At 49.0% G+C, this 17,005-nt stretch overlaps 1 protein-coding gene across 4 annotated transcripts in view; it reads right to left on the bottom strand.

The window, feature by feature from the left end:
• PSD2 (pleckstrin and Sec7 domain containing 2) overlaps positions 1-17,005 on the bottom strand; it is a 101,992-nt gene that overhangs the window by 7,674 nt on the left and 77,313 nt on the right. For all 4 annotated transcript variants that reach the window (XM_047417829.1, XM_017009976.2, XM_017009977.2 and 1 more), the window contains 4 exons: positions 14,788-14,900; positions 14,009-14,067; positions 3,002-3,091; positions 1,027-1,070 (listed from right to left, as the gene is read on the bottom strand). In XM_047417829.1, coding sequence (XP_047273785.1) covers positions 1,027-1,070; positions 3,002-3,091; positions 14,009-14,067; positions 14,788-14,900 — 306 coding nt within the window. The remainder of the gene's footprint in view (positions 1-1,026; positions 1,071-3,001; positions 3,092-14,008; positions 14,068-14,787; positions 14,901-17,005) is intronic.

The following is a 17,005-nucleotide window of genomic DNA, read 5'->3' as shown; positions in this document are numbered from 1 at the left end:
TGAGCACCACCTCCAGGGAGGCCTCGGCCCCGCATCGTCATGGCCTTTCCCCACCAGCCTCCTCTCCAGGAGCCAGGGTCATGGAGGAAGAGCAGCCCCAGGAGGCAGAGATGAAGAGATTCCAATTCCAGACCACAGATCCAGATCTCTGACCCCTCCTCTCATCTCCACTTCTGACCTCTGACCTCTGACCTCTGATCTTTGATTTTTGTCCTCCAAGCCCAAATTGTCACCCTTGATCACAAACGTGGAGACTTAACTGTCACCAGGTCTCCTTCCTAGTCTTCCTTCTCCTCTCTCCATCCCAGGGAGCACTAACCGTGGCCAGACTGAAGCTGCTGCACAAACCCCACCGACATGCTGGCAGCGGGAGGCCAGCAGGTAAGGCCCTGAAGCCTGGGCCCCCATGAGAGCCCTGGAAGAAGAGTGCCAGCTCTTCCCTGTGGGGTTGGAGTTCCTGCTAATCCCTGCCTGAGGCCTCTACATGGACCTGCCTGCCCTGGGGAACACAGCAGAGCCTTTCACGGTCTCCCCAAACAGCAAGGTCAACACCCCTCTTTCCTGATGAGACCTACAGGTCTCACTGCCTTTGCAGGGGAAGAAGTTAGAGGGCACTCTCCCCTTCCCACTGTCAATAACAGTCACCACCTAAACGTGGTCATATTCTCCAGGTTATAGAGGCCTCATGCCTCCTGTCTGCCTACTTCCCAAAGGGAAAGGAGCGGTCATCAATGGGAATTGGAACACTATCCCCATATAGAAAACCAGCTGTGGACATCATAGAACTAAAGTCACAGTTCAATCTATTCTGTAACAATGCAAACATTGCACTCTTTTTCTCAATACAGAAAATGAATCCAAAGGGGAATTCAACACCAGGTGTGCGCCAGCTAGACACAGGTATCAGGCCCTGGATTGGGAGGGATCAGCACCATGGAGAGTGGTCAGAATGTCGGACCTGCACCCCCACACTCCCCCACCCAGGGATGTATGCTCCCCATACCTGTGCCCATCGTCACTACTCACATGGCCCATTCCAGCTTTTCATTCTTGATGGAGTTGTAAAGGGTCTGGGAGAGGGAAAAGAGAGAGGGGGGAATTCAGGTGAAGGGTCAAAGAAACCCTCATCTACCACCAATAACATGGGTACAGTGAGGGAGCACCTTTTCAGCCAATGGGGCAAAGTGGGTGTTTGATTCATACTTATTTGCTGGATGGGTAAGTGAGTGGGTGGGTGGATGTACGGATGGGTGGTATTTAATTATGTGATCACTTAATGTCAATCTCCCGTAGGAGACTGTAAGCTTCACAAGGTCAGAGGCTGTCCATTTGTTCACTACTGAATTTCCAGTGCATAATCCAGAACTTGACATACAGCAAGTGCTCGACAGGGTAAATGAATGGATGGGAGGATGAATGGGAGGATGGGTGAGTGAATGGATGGATGGGGAAGTGGACAGGTGGAAGATGGAAGGATGGGTGGGGAAACAAGCAGGTGGATGGGTGAATGAATAGAAGATGGGTGGGTAGACAGAGGGTATATGAGGAAGATTTAGGGGTGTATGCATGAGGATATGGGTGGGCAAATGAATGGCAGGGTGTTGGGTGGATGATTGAGTAAATGATTGGGTTGATAGATTTGAGGATGAATGGGTGGGTGGGTTGGCGGGTAAGTGAATGGGTGGGGAAATGGGTGATGGGGGATGGGTGAGTAGATGTGGAGAAGTTTGTTGAGGTGAGTAGATGGGGAGTGTTTGAGGAGTACAGGGTGTCTGTGTGGGTGACGGGTGAATGGGTGAGTGGTTGCTATGCGAGGAGTGGGAAGGGAGGGTTTGGGGAGATATATATATATATGGGTGATGGGTGAATGGGTGGGTATATGGGTAGGTGAATGATTGAGTGGCTGGGTGGATGCATGGGAGGATGAGTGGATGGGTGCAGAAGTGGTTAGATAGGTGAATGGGTAGTTTGGGAGAAATGGATAGGTGGATAGTGGGACTGGGATTGTTTGATCTCACAAATATGTTCTTAACAAACGCTTCTCAATGGTGAAGAATATAATATAGTAAGAAGAGTGATGGAGACAATGTTCTATGGAACATTGGGGTTTGGATGGAGACCTCCGAACTCATTATTCAACTACGCCTGTAGTATCATCAGATTCTTCAAACCCACTATTTAAAAATGAAGCTGGCTGGGTGTGGTGGCTTACGCCTGTAATTTCAGCATTTTGGGAGGCTGAGGTGTGAGGATTGCTTGAGCCCAGGAGTTTGTGACCAGCCTGGGCAACATAGTGAGATCCCCAGCTCTATAAAAAAAAAAAAAAGCATAAAAATAAAAATCGCCAGGCACAGTGGCATGCACCTATAGTCCCAGCTACTTGGGAGGCTGAGGCAGGAGGATCCTTTGAGGCCAAAAGTTCCAGGCTGCAGTGAGCCATGATTGCATCACTGCACTCCAGGGTGGGTGACAGAATGAGACCTTGTCTCAAAAATATAAAAATAATAAAAATGAGCCCATCACCGAGCCACCAAAAACCTGCTCCTTTTCCTCAGTGGAGAAATGACCAGACTAGAAAGGCTAGAGTTCCACCCTTCACTTCAGCCTCAAAAGAAAACTGGATTCTCTTAATTCCTGGTAATGTTGAAGGAATGAGGGGGGCTTTTCCTTGTGGTGATGATAATGATGTTTGTGGTGAAGGTGGTGGTGGCGGTTGTGGTGGGTGGCAGCTGTGACAGTTCATAGCAGTGTTGATTATTACTGTGACAGTAATGGTGGTAATGGAGTACTAAAAACAAATCTCACAAAGCCTTACCCTCTGCCTAACTCAGGGAACACAGAACAGCCAAATGTTGAGCTCAGTGGTTTCTAACTTTGTCATCATGGCCCTGCACCCTGTGTTAACGGCCTGGAATGCCAGGATTTCACGAGGCACAGACCTCTCTCCTCTCTATCCATTCAGGGCACAGCTAGTGGGATGGGGACACTCAGCAGACAGTACCTTCAGCAGGTCTTTGGCAAAGTCTTGGCCATCATTCAGCTGGTCCAAGTTGGCAATGAATTGCTGACAGGACATCTTTTTGCCAATGTTCTGTAATGGAGAAATGGTTCTGCCTAAGAGTAGGGAAGGAGGCTGGTGTGTTCCCCACACACCCTGCCCTGCCCAGCCAGAGGGATGAGGCAGCATTAAGGGCAATAATGAAAATTAAATTGCGTGAATTTTCTTTTGTCTCCAAGAGTTTACAAAACTCTTTCTCACAGTCAGAACTGTACTTGATTCTCAAGCATCTTGAGAGGTTGGGCTTCTTCTGCAGCCCAGGTGAAGGAGTTGGGCTGGATGAAGAGTTGTAAGAGCTGACATTTGCCAGGTGCCTACTATGTTCCAGGTCTTGTGCTTGACATGCATTATCTTATTTCTTTCTCACCCCAAGGAGGAGGTGAGGTGCCTGTTTTTATTATCCCCATTTGACAGGTAAGGAAACTGAGATACAGGAAGGTGAAGTGACATGCCCACGATCACAAGGCAAGGAAGTGAAAAGGCCAAGTGTGTCTGAAACCAAATCCCGTGCTCTCACCGCTACTCCACGGTTAACTCTCCCAAAGTCACTCAACACCAGGACTTGAACCCAGGCCTCTTGGCTTCTGAGCAGAAGCTCTGCATATTCTGCCACAACTGTCTCGCCCTCTCACCTGCACAGAGGGGCAGCAAGCCTTCCAAGACATAGGTGAAGTGAGGGAAAGTTTATGGGAGTCAAAAATCAATTGCCATGGACACACAAGTGCCCCATGCTAAGCTGAGCTGAGCTGGGACAAAGAGAACCCAAGCAGATGGTTTCACACTCAGAGGTAGAAACAGGCAAAGAGCTGGAAATGACTAAATCCCCAAGTTCTGCCTTCTTGTTTTAACCAATGAGTAGCAGAGGGGCTCAAACCCTGCAAACCCAACACCTAATATTCATACTTCCAGACTCTCCTTGGAGTCCCCACGTTTGAGAAAACATTGAACAGCACTTCATCTTTGTGAGGATGAAGACTCTTGAATACCAGATACTTATCACTGAAGGATTTTGTGGATTGGGGTTTGCTCTAAAGCAGTGTTTTCCAAGGTTTACCTACAGAACTCTGGTATTCCAGGAGATGGAAATAGGTATTCTCTCAAAAAAAGATTTCATAATAGAACAACTTTATTTACATGTTTCAGAGTCTTTACCATGCTGATTTGTGCTGGTGTCTCCAAGGAGAGGATTCCATGTCATTTCCCAAGTTTACTGACATTGGCACTATTTTAGCAAAGACACTCTATTAGCATCATGTGGGACATTCACACACCACAGAAATCATTCAGAAAACAATGATGCAAGGCTTTATAAGTAGCTGACAAGCAAGAACTTTCTATGCCTTTTCCAACTAGTTCAGGAGAAAAGATCCTATGTATGCCTTGATACAAGTGTGTTTTGTATTTTTCTGTGTAGATTTACATATATATGTGTGTATAGATATATAAGTATATAGCTGTGTGTGTACATTTGCAATACAGGATTATGAGGGCAATGTTGGTAAGACTGTCTTTGAGTTCCACACAAACTGAACATTCCCCAGCCATCGGTCAGGAGCACAAAATCAAAAAATAACACGGCAAGATTTCTAATCTGAGCAATATCAGACTATCTTCTTGTGGGTGAACCTTCCCAGCAGCATTGGAGGCTTTACAAAAGCAGTGAAGGCTTCAAGGGTGAGGATCCTGCAGGGGAGTGTGGAGAGGTGACCCCAGAAAGAGCAGCATTCCTCCCCGAAGCACCTGCTCCTTCCCAGCAGTGGCCAGGGGCTGAGCGGCTAAGTGGCCTCTTAGGATTGGAGAAAAGAGATTGGAGTTCAGGGTCCACCAAGGACAAGGGTCCTGGGAAACACCCCAGTCACACTTCAACATAAAAGTTGAAATTAAGAAAGAAAATACTAAAAGAAGAAAAAGTATCCCAGATGGAAATGTGGAGAAGCAGAAATGAATGAAATAACAAAAAGAATTGGTAACTCTAAATGGAAATCGACTATGTAGAGCAACAATAAAGTTTCCCAGGGAATAAAATATAGAGAGATATAATAGTTAAAAGCATGATAACAGGAGTATGTAAGTTAAGAGAGCAGTAAATGGAACTAAAGTGTTTCAAGGTATTTCATTGCCCAGGAAGTGGTACAAGTACTTTATAAGTCAAGAATGCAAATTGCCAACCATAGAAGGAATTCCGAAAGAATGCACAACAAACAAGCTAACAGAGCAGGGAAATTGAATTCTAAAACATACTTAATCCAAAAGTAGGCAAAAGAAGAAAAAAAAAGAAACAGAACAGAGGAGTCAAAGAGAAAACAGTCACTTGATATACTTAAACTCAAATATATCATAATTCATTAAATGTTCAAATTAACATTATTACCAAATTTTATTTTTAAGTATATGATACAAGATATATGCCTTAAATATAAAAGAACAGAAATCTTTGAAAGAAAAAGTCAGAAAAAGATATACCACATAAACACTAACAAAAGAACTCCAGTATAGCTACACTAATGTCTGACAAAATAGATTCGAAGGCAAGAAGCATTACTAGACATAAAGACGGACATGTTCATAGTGATAAAAGGGTCAATCTGCCAGAAGATATAATCATCCTAAATCTGTATACATCTAGTAACATAGCTTCAAAATATACAAGACAAAAATTGACAAAACCAAAAGAAGACATATTCACAATCTTGGCTGGAGATTTTAACACTGCTCTCTTAGTAACAGGAAGAACAAGCAGACAAAAAGTTGGCAAGAATTCTATGCCAAAAAATTAGATAACCCAGATGAAATGGACAAATTCTTAGAAATACACAAGCTACTAAAACTGGCTCAAGAAGAAATAGAAAATCTGAATAGACCTATAACAAGTAAAGAGATTGAATCAATAAAAAAAAAAAAAAAAAAAAAAGCAAGTCCAGGTGTGGTGGCTCACACCTGTAATCCCAGCACTTTGGGAAGCCAAGGTGGAAGGATCACTTGAGCACAGGAGTTTGAGGCCAGTCTGGGCAACATAGGGAGACCTTGTCTCTAAAAAAAAAAAAAGAAAAGAAAGAAAGAGAAATAAAGAAAGAAAGAGAAAGAAAGAAAGAAAGAAAGAAAGAAAGAGAAAGAAAGAAAGAAAGAGAAAGAAAGAAAGAAAAAGAAAGAAAGAAAGAAAGAAAGAAAGGAAGGAAGGAAGGAAGGAAGGAAGGAAGGAAGGAAGGAAGGAAGAAAATTAGCTGGGCATGATGGCACATGCTTGTGGTTCCAGCTACTCAGGAGACTGAGGTGAGAGGATTGCTTGAGCCCAGGCGGTTGAGGCTGCAGTGAGCCAGGATCACACCACTACACTCCAGCCTGGGCAACAGAGAGACGCTGTCTCAAAAGGAAAAAAAAAAAAAAAAAAAGAACACTATCAAGAGATGAAAAACAACCCACAGAGTGAGAAAAAAAATTTGTAAATCAAGTATCTACTAAGGGTCTAGTATCAAGGATATATAAAGAACTCTAAGAATACAACAACAAAAGACAAACAACCTAATTTTAAAATGAATGAAGGACCTGAATAGACATTTCTCCAAAGAAAATATACAAATGGCCAAAAAGTACATGAAAAAAATGCTCAACATCACTAATCATTAGAGAAACACAAATCCAAACCACAATGAGATACCACTTCACATTACAGATCACACATACCAGATCACACTACACTAGGATGGCTATCTTTTTTTTTTTTTTTCAAAAAAAAAGAAAAGGGTTGGTGAGGATGTAAAGAAATTAGAACACCCTTGCATGTTGGTGGTGGAAATGTAAAATGGTTCAGCCACTATGGAAAACAGTTGGGCACTTCCTCAAAAAGTTAAATGTAGAATTATCCTATGACCCAGCAAGTCAATCCTAGGTATATACCCCCAAAATATGAAAACAGATATTCAGACAAAAACTTGTACACGAATGCTCATAGCAGCGCTATTCACAATCACCAAAAGATGGAAACGACCCAAATATCCATCAAGAGATGAACAGATAAATAAAATGTGGCATATCCATACAATGGAATATTATTCAGCCATAAAAAATGAACTACTAATACATGCGACAACATGAATGAATCTTGAAAACATGCTAAATGAAAGACGCCAGTCACAACAGGCCACATATTGTGTGATCCCACTCACATGAAATATCTACGGTAGACAAATTCACAGAGACAGAAAGCAAAATAGCATTAGCCAGGGGCCAGGTGGAGGAGGAAATGGGGTATGACTGCTGATGGGTATGGGGTTTCCTTTTGTTGTGATGAAGATGTTCAGAAACTAGACAGTGGCAACGATTGCACACCATTGTGAATGTACTTAGTGCCACTAAATTGTAAGCTTTAAAATAGTTAAAATGGTAAGTTTCATAACAAGAAAATAAATCACTAAGAATATACATGATTTTTACAACACATATAGGCACCTTACTGGCACATATAGAACATTGTAACCAACACACAGAATATATTCTTTTCAAGTCCACATGAAACATTCACTAGAATTGATCTTTCTCAGGGCGAAAAAGCAAGACTCATGCAAAGAAGTGAAATTATACTGGGTAAGTTATCTGCTTTAAAATATAATACTTATAATGACAACCAGGCAAAAAGACATGCACCCAGATCATCCCAAAGCCCAAGGGAGGTCCACGATTTGGGGCCTCTGAATTCCCAGTTCCTCCCCTCCCTCCCACCCCATTTGGATCTACAGGGCCTCCCAGTCTTTCCTGAGCCCTTGGACTTCTTCCCACAGCCTCTGTCTCCGAGCAGAGGAAAGTCACAGCGGGTCCAACCACTGCCCCATCCCAAGGCCTGGACCCTGGCACGTTAGGGCCAGGGTGACCATCTCCTCAAACTCATCTCCTTGCCCAGAGTAGAGGCTAGACGGGTACAGGGTGATGCCCAGGCCATCATCCACATAGTAAAACTGTGTCACTGCCTTTGCCCCACAGGAGCCAGGCCTTTTCCCACAAGTCTGATTTCCATGCACAGCCCTGAGATCAGAACAATGCTAGCCTGTCTTTAAGGGTCATTTCAGAAGCAGGATGAGGCAGGCCAAGCAGACGTCATCCTTCGGGAGGAGGGGAGGGGCTGATCAAAGGTCCTATGGCAGAAAAACCCTTGCCACTATTTGCAAATCTAGGCTAAACCTTAATTATACTTGGTATTCCCTTAAGGTTATTGTGTGAGGCTCTGTCACCATCTGAGAATGGGCAGACCTCTGCAGACCTCAGGATAGCATCCAAACCCCTGGCCTGTCCCTCCAGCCCTCCACCATCCAGCCCCAATGCGCTTCGCCAGAAACTCCCGCTGTTGCCACCCTTCAGGCAACACAAGGTTGGAGAGAAATTAAGCTGTTCCTGAAAAACAATTAATCTTTGTTTCAGCTTGAGCTCTCCTGGAATGACTTCTCCCACCCACCCCTCCTTCTCTGTTTGCCTCAACCCTGGTGGTTCTCCCCCGCTTACCCCAGCCTTCAGTCCATTGACCAGTGCCATAGGCTGTGCAACAAAAATACCTCTGGAATTTCTCTCCTGGTCTCCGTCTCCAATTCTAACCCACACTGCCATTTTCTCATGGCTGGAGCTTGCGAATCACCGTTCTCTGACATCCCCCACTCAGTGCATCCCAGGCTCATTTGCTGACCCGTCATCACCCATCATCACCAGCATTGGCATCATCTCCAAAACCCCCATTTCAAATACAACTCCTGACCCCCATCTCCTGCTCTTCCACCTCCCCCATTCTTTAGAACCCTCACTCCAACAACCCTTTGATCCTCTGTTGAGATCTGATACAGTTTCGCCCTGTGTCCCCACCCAAATCTCATCTCGAATTGTAATCCCCACATGTCAAGGGAGGAAGGTGATTGGATCATGGGGGTGGTTCCCCCACGCTGTTCTCATGATAGTGAATGAGTTCTCAGCAGATCTGATGGTTTTATAAGTGTTTGGAAGTTCCTCCTACATTCTTCTCTCTCCTGCCACCTCGTGAAGAAGATGCCTGCTTCCCCTTCCGCCATGATTGTAAGTTTCCTGAGGCCTCCCAAGCCATGTGGAACTGTGAGTCAATGAAGCCTCTTTCCTTTACAAATTACCCAGTCTCAGGGAAGTTCTTTATAGCAATGTGAAAATGGACTAATACAAGATTCAAAGGTCCTCTCTTTCTTTTTTATCCAGTTTAGATCCCAGGCCCCATCAGTAACCACTTCCCTGCAGACATCTCTCTTGCCCCTTTGTGCTTCTGTCATATGTGCCTAGAAAAAGCCCAGCACTGACTAAACCCAACTGATTTCCTATACTGTACCTGTATCCAAGTCCAACCAAATACACTTGTAGGACACACAGCTGTGCTAATTGGTCCGATTTTATGTCTATAACCACAGCCACATGGGCATGGAGACTCCTGACTGCCACAGTTCCTGTGTTTGCTCTCATCCTCCATGAACATGGCATGGCTTTTCCTTTCCCTTAAGCCTCAAAGTCCCTGTAGTAGACACTGTGGCTCTCTCTCTCCAAAACCCTTTTCCCATTATGTATCAGCAATGAGGTGTGGGTGGGGAAGAATGACCCCACCTCTAGCCCAGGGCTAGGCCCTGGATCACCTCATTCCTCTTGCCACAGAGATTGATTCGGGTAACCTAGGCTTTTTCCAACTGTCCCATGGTATTCTCTGGGCCAAAGAGACCAGTTCAGAAAATGGCATATGACCCATCTGGGGCCAACGGTATTTGAAAGCCATTTTCTGGGAGCTTCTGTGGTAGAAGCCTTCCTGACTCCAGCTCCTAAGAAGACACTTCGGGTACCAGCTCTCTCCAGCAAGCAGTGAAGTGTGGCTGTGAGGCCTGGAATTGCTGCATCTATCGGGCCCATGTAGGGGAAGCCAGGCTTGGGATGAGGCTGACATCACTGTCAGAAGAAAATGACAAGAAATTAGATCACCTCTTAACTGGAGGTAAGGCTGATTCAAATCCACCCTGGACCCTGCCTGACTCTACACTTTTCAAACAGTAAGTAGCTGTCATTTTTAAAGCTAGTGGGTGTTACGTTTTTTGTGACCTTAACTAAACCCATCCTGACTGGTCAGTCCCCTTCCCATCTTCACTCTCAGCTCAGGACCTCATCTCATCTTCGTGGTAGAAGTAGAAGCCATCAGAAGCCCCTCATCTTCTCATTGCCAGAGCTACCAAGCCCACTGCAGCACCTCCACTTTCTGCCTCACTTTCTTATGAACGTGGGAGATGGGTCAACATTCCCCACTCACACTAAAGGCCACTTCCCACCTGTGCTCTGCTTCTCATCTCAAGGGAAGCTTCCACTGTCCCTTCTCTCTCCTGCAGTGGCAGCATCTTGTCTGTTGGGTTGATCCTGGTGGCACATGCACAAGGTTGGGCTGTTTTAACATCAGACTTGACCGCTGGCTCCTGTCAGGCCCCCAGGCAAGGCCAAACATCTTAAGAGCTGTCTATGGCCACCACACCCTCGCCTCTTGAGCTCATCTCACCCACTTCAACCTGGCATCTGTCCTCTCCACTCCACCTAAGGTGCTCTTATAAAGGTCTCCAATGACCTTGACCATCCCACCCATGACCACTCCAACCCCAGTGGTCACTCTTGCGCCATCACTTTACTTGACCTCATGGCAGCCTTTTATACAGTTGGCCACTCACTCCCTTCTCCTCGAAATGCTGTCTTGTCTGGGCTTCAGAGATGCCACACACTCATGAGTTTCCTCCGACATCCCTGGATGCGTTGCAGTCTCTCCTACTCCTCTGCCTGGCCTCTACATAACGCTGAGCCCCAGGACTTGGCCATCAGTGTGTTCTCTCTGCAGGGACATGGCAATCAGCCAGTCCCATAGCTTTGAATTCCACCCCACCCCATCTCTGTCTTCAGCCCAAGTGTCTGCACCGGGCCCAGACTAATCCATGTTACTGCCTCCTTGGCCTCCCCGCACTGATGTCTAGAGGCATCAGAAACACAGGTCAAAATCGGGACTCAAGTCCCCCTCTCCCACTCACCACCACCCCCACACAGAAGTTTCTTCCCCCTCTCAGGAAATGGCACCCCCAGCTAGCCACATGCCAAAGCCACCCTTGCTCCTCTCTTTCACTGACCAACCCCATCAGCAAGTCCTGTTAGACTCAGTCCTGAAAGGTCTCCCTTGTCAGTCCCTTCTACCCACGCTACCATCATCTCCCACCTGGATGTAAACAAACACCACTATGGAAACAGTTCTGCAGCTCCTCAAAAAATTAAACACAGAACAACCAGATATATGAACCAGCAAGTCCACTCCAAGGTAGGAACCCCAAATAACTGAAAACAGGTGTTCAAACGAAAACTTGTGCACGAATGTTCACAGCAGCGCTATTCCCAACAGCCACAAGGTGAAAACCAGCCCTGCTGGCCCCATTGCCTGAAATGCGTGGTCCTAGATCTTTCCATGGCCGGCTCCCGCTGATCCAGGTCTCTGCCCAAACCTTGCAGGCTTTCCCTGACCCTTAGACCGGACCCATCACACCTTCCTGTGTGTGCCCTTCATGGAGCTGCACAACTTGTAATCGCTTGTTCACTTCTGTGTTGTCCACCTCTTGTAACTGGTGGGGCTCCCTTTCTTGTCTTGTTCATGGAACACAAAAGCAGGGTTGTTGTTGAGCCTCCAACCTCAAGGGTCCCAGCGCCTCTTCTACACAAATCCTCCCCAGTTCCTCAACCAGACTGCACCCATCTCAGGAGCATGCCTATAGCCCGATAGCCCCTTACTGCCTCCTGCTCTGAACAGAGCTCTTTTTGTGGGGACTCGCAGGGCCCCTGTTCCCGAGATCCCCACAACCCACCAGGCCTCAGTCCCTGCTTGATGAGTGACGTGGGAGGGGAGGAGGCAAGGGGAAAAGTGCAAAGCATCAGGTGCTCTGAAGAGCTCCCAGTAACTGCAACCGCCAGGCCTTGGGTACGAGCTTTACTTCACATTCTTTACACACTGGCACTTTATCATGGGGAAACTGAGGCATAGTGAAGTAAATAACTTGTCTCAGGCCACACAGCCTTCGTGTGGAGCAACAGAGAACACAGCCTCAGAGCCTGCGCTCCTAATCTCTGAGCAGTACCACGTAAAGAGAGAGACATCTCTACTAAAAATACAAAAAATTAGCCGGGCGTGGTGGCAGGTGCCTGTAGTCCCAGCTACTCGGGAGGCTGAGGCAGGAGAATGGCATGAACCTGGGAGGCGAGGCTTGTGGTGAACCGAGATCTCGCCACTGCACTCCAGCCTAGGCGACAGAGTGAGACTCCGTCTCAAAAAAAAAAAAAAAAAAAACAAGAGAGAGACGAAAGCCTCAGTGTCTGTCTGCTGCAAACATGAACACTCATCCCAACCCACTTCTAATCTATGAAGTGCTGACATTTCTCTTCAGCTGTGGCATCAATGTGAGACCATGCCAGCTAAGGCCCACCAAGCTGCGGGGTGCTCTTGGCCCAGGGTTCACTACACAGTGGCTGCCGCCCTCCTTAGCAGTTCTTAGCCATAGGGAGGCCCAGCCAGGGGTGGGGACAGGGAGTGAGGGGCCTGTTGAGTGCTCCTTTCAAAGCAGGCCAGCAACACTGCTGTCTGTCAATAAACAGAGGGCACAGTCTAGGGGAACAGCAGCAGGCTCATGGGCTTTGGTGGTGAGTGACATTCATATGGAATGCGTCTTCTCTCTTGTTCCACACTCAGGTTGCATGCCCAGGTGGACTTGGCAAAAGCTGTCGCATATTTGCTCTTCCTGACGCAGGCACTGAGGCTCTAGCCCTCCCCAGGCCAGGTGCCCCAGTGCACCCATGAGCCCAGGCTGCCAGCAGACTGGGCCTTCACAATCTTGCCCTACAGGGGCCTGCAGGCTGGGTCTTCCAGCTTGCCCTTGGTTCGATTTTCACAGTAATGAGGAATACTATTGTTCTTTTTACGTAACAATTTTCTTCATAATGAAATCCTTACTAGGTGCCAGACCCTGCCCCTTGGTGCCATGTATATTACCTCTCTCAGTCCTGCCCATGACACCGCAGGGAGATCATTATTCCCACCTCACAGATGTGGAACCTGAGGCCCAGAGAGGGCCAGTGCTTGCCCGGGATCACACAGCTACCACGTGGAGGCAAGAGTAGAATCTGAAGTTTGGTCTATCCCAGCTCTTTCTTTCACCCCCATATGCCCTGGATTTCCTGGTTAACTTGCTGGCCTGTTGTCCCCATGAGTCACTGAGATATTCCCTACCTAGCAGGGGGCTCCAACCACCATGGGTGAGCAATGATGGGGCAGAGATGGGGTGGAGCCAGATGGTGATGGGGGACACAGAAGGGCAACATGGTGATGGGGGCCTCGGCACACAGGGCATGCACACCACTAGCTACACTTACCACCTGCGAGGGCAAGAGAGCCCAGAGAGGGGTCCCGGAGCAGATAGAGGAAAGAAGAAGGAGTTATTGAGCCATGAGAAGTGCTGAGACAGCCTGGGGCCTGGACCAGACACAGCCTCACAGCCTGGGCGTCCCACACCAGTCACTTCACTGCTTGGCCTGGTAGGGGCCGGGGATTTGGGAGGGGCTGCCCCGAGCACGGTATTTCAATGCAGCTGCATTCAGACTTGCAGGACAGGGGCACAAAGGGCACATGATCTCTTAGCATGGACGAGAGGCACACATTTGTGGCTCATCTTAAACTCCCGTGGCCCAGCTGCTCTCACTGGCATACTTGGGGGTGGGGACTCAGGTGGATCACAGGTGGATGAAACTAGGGCGGGGCCAAATCTAGAAGCCAAGCTGCCCAACCCCCACCGCTTCAAAAAGAAGCCCGGCCACTGAGTAAGAGATCTCAGGAAGGGGCCGGGATCAACACAAGGTGGGTCCCTGAGAGGACATGCGACACCCCCCGTCACCTCCCCAACTCACGTGGCCGTGCAGGTCCGTGTTGAGCAGCATCAGGGCACAGGTGAGCGTGTGGATCCCATCTGAGTCAGAGATGGTGGCACTCTCAGTGCGAGGATCCAACCTCTTCCCACTCCCTGTCTCCTGACGGAACCCGTCAGGAGACCTTGGACACAGAGGGAGGCCGGCCGCCTGCCAAACTCACCTCAGGGGACAGGGCCTGTGTGACGCTCCAGGTCTGCCCCAACTGCAGGACCCAAGTCACTTGCCTGCCCCAGGAGCCTGACCACCCTGGACCCACTCTGGCCCAGACTCCTGCCTCCTGTGGCCAAACTCACCTTGAACCTCAGACCCAGAAATAGCTCTGAGCTCCCAGCCCTGCCCCTGCATTGACCTGTGTCTCTCCCAATAATGGGCCTTGTCCCCTAGTTCCTGGGACTTAGGCCCATCTATTGGGCAAGTCCTGTCCCTAAGAGGACCCCGACCTAGACCCCCACCACACCAACAGCCAGCACCATGACAGGGACCCCAGAGAAGGGAGAGCCCCAGAGCTGAATCCCGAGGCTGGAGGGACTTCCAGGCAGTGGGGAGGAGAACAGGCAAGACTGCGCCTTGCTCAGCAGGCAGACCGTGTGCCATAGCTTATTCAATTAGCATTCATTGAGCACCTACTGCATGCCAGAGAGGACAAACCATCTGGGCCTGGCAACAGGACCGAAGTGCCAGGTGGACCAGGATGGGAGGGGACCAGGGCCTGGCTGAGTGGGTGGGGAGGGTCAGGCAGAGTGGGCAAGGGGCCATACCTTCCGAAGTGCTGTCATCAGGGTTGCACTGGCAGTACCGGCGGGAGAAGTGTGTGAGGACCCGCTCACGCTCTTGTGTCTCCCCCATCAGCGGGAAGGCCTTCAAGAATGTTCTGGAAGGCAATTCAAAGCTGCTGAGGGCAGTCTGAGTCCTCACCCAGGGTAAGACCACCCCCCACACACACAGCACACACCCACTCTAGGGGGCCAGGGCTCCAGTGCCCCACTCTCTGGGTCTGGATGCTCTCTCCACGCCCAGGAGGCCCTGGCCCCCAGGATGGCCACTCTGGAGTGCTGAGGCCAGGGGACCTGGTAAGCTTTAGAGTTTCAGTCCTCATTGCCCTCCAGGGACCTTCTGAAATTAGGCAGAGGACAGATGGTGAAGAACAAAGACAGAAGAGCACCTCAGCACCTGCTCTTCTTCAGGGTGGATGCCCACTCCTTGCTCCTTCCCCTACAGCCGGACCCTGTCCCTGCCTGCCCTTCAGAATGCTCCTCCTCAGTCATCCCCTCTCTTTCATGTGCCACCAGCTGAGCCCCAGGCCCAACTCTGGCCCCTCAACTCCTCCCCTACCCCAAGTTTGAGTTGCCACCAAATCCTGATGGTTTGTTCTTCAACCTCAACCTTAATCCTCCTCTGCTGCCACCACCTTCATCATGTGCCCAGGACAACGGGGCCACCCCTGCACCCAATCCTCCTCCCTGCTGACACTAAGTTGTCTTTCTAAATACACACATAGGCAGGACTTACCACTGCTTAAAATCCATCACTGGGCCAGGCGCGGTGGCTCACGCCTATAATCCCAGCATTTTGGGAGGCCGAGTTGGGCAGATCACCCAAGGTCAGGAGTTCAAGACCAGCCTGGCCAACATGGTGAAACCCCATCTCTACTAAAAATACAAAAATTAGCCAGGTGTGGTGGCGCATGCCTGTAATCCAAGCTACTCAGGAGGTTGAGGCAAGAGAATCACTTGAACCCAGGAGGCAGAGGTTGCGGTGAGCCAAGGTCGCACCATTGCACTCCAGCCTGGGCGACAGAAGAAGATTCCATCTCAAGAAAAAAAAAAAACAACCTCTGGCCCCTTGGCACCCTCAGAATAGCACCAAGGCTCCTCATATCATGGCCATGTTCACTGCCCAGACTACCCTCCTCTGCCTCCAACCTCATACCCGCCTGCTACACCTTGGACAGAACAGGCATTTCACTATTCAGTGCCTCAGAGCAGGCCAGGCCTTCAGGACACCCGTCCTTCCTCTGCTGGGCAGCTCTGAATCTCCCTCAAGGCCCAATATAAAGGTCATTCCCTTGGGAAGGGAGATTACAGGCTGAGGCCATTGGTGTCTCCATCAGTCTTGAGTTCAGAAGATGGTTTTTTCCTAATTTTTGCTATAGTTCATTTCGTTTTGGCCCAGAATGCTGCAATGCCCACTTTGCTTTACCCTCTCTCATGCCACCTCCTAAGGCACCCTGGGACCTGCAAGCCATGACTTGGCCAGCCCTTACACTCTGAGGTGCCTCAAGGCATCCAAAACTGCAGAGTACTCTCGAAATCCAATCCCAAGCAACCAACTGCTGCATAATAGCACTGCCCTGTCTGACAGCTCGCTGTCCTCCTCTCCCTGTCTCTCTTGCTCCCGTTCTCTTCTCCCATCTGTCCCCCAGCCTGGCCCCTCCCTCTTCTCACATTCCTCCAGGACTTTCTCAAAACCTCCCCCATTCAAACCGTAGCCTGTCTTACCTATGAGCCATCCATCCCAACTCCTACTCCCCAGCCCAAACTCCCCTTCCCTGGACACTCTGCCCCAAGCCGCAACCCCGTGCCGCCACCACCAAACTCTTGGGCTGTCCCTAGGGGTAGCCTCACCACTGTCCACCCTCCCCACATCTTGGCACCAGCAGCCCTTTTACTCTTCCCTCTGTGGAGCCTCTCACACCGACCTTTCCCCTCTGCCCAACCTCATGCTTGTTCTCTCCCACCTGACCCTCTTCAGAAGGCTACATGCCTCTAGATCAAAGGCCACCAGTACATTGGGGCCAGTATTTGCTTCCAAAATGTTGCTTTGCAGCCAGTACCTTCTGCGGCTCTCCAGTGCCTGCACAGTTGAGCCTCAGCATTGGGCTGGCATACAAGGCACTCAGTCTAGCACCCACACCTCTGATCATGAGCTGACCCCGCTGAACACCTTGCCAGACCAATCTTCCTCATTCTAGCGCAA

This window comes from Homo sapiens, chromosome 5, assembly GCF_000001405.40.
Source record: "Homo sapiens chromosome 5, GRCh38.p14 Primary Assembly".
Taxonomy (NCBI): domain Eukaryota; kingdom Metazoa; phylum Chordata; class Mammalia; order Primates; family Hominidae; genus Homo; species Homo sapiens.
The sequence above is the reverse complement of the archived record's forward strand: the minus strand, read 5'-3'. Positions and strand labels throughout refer to the sequence as shown.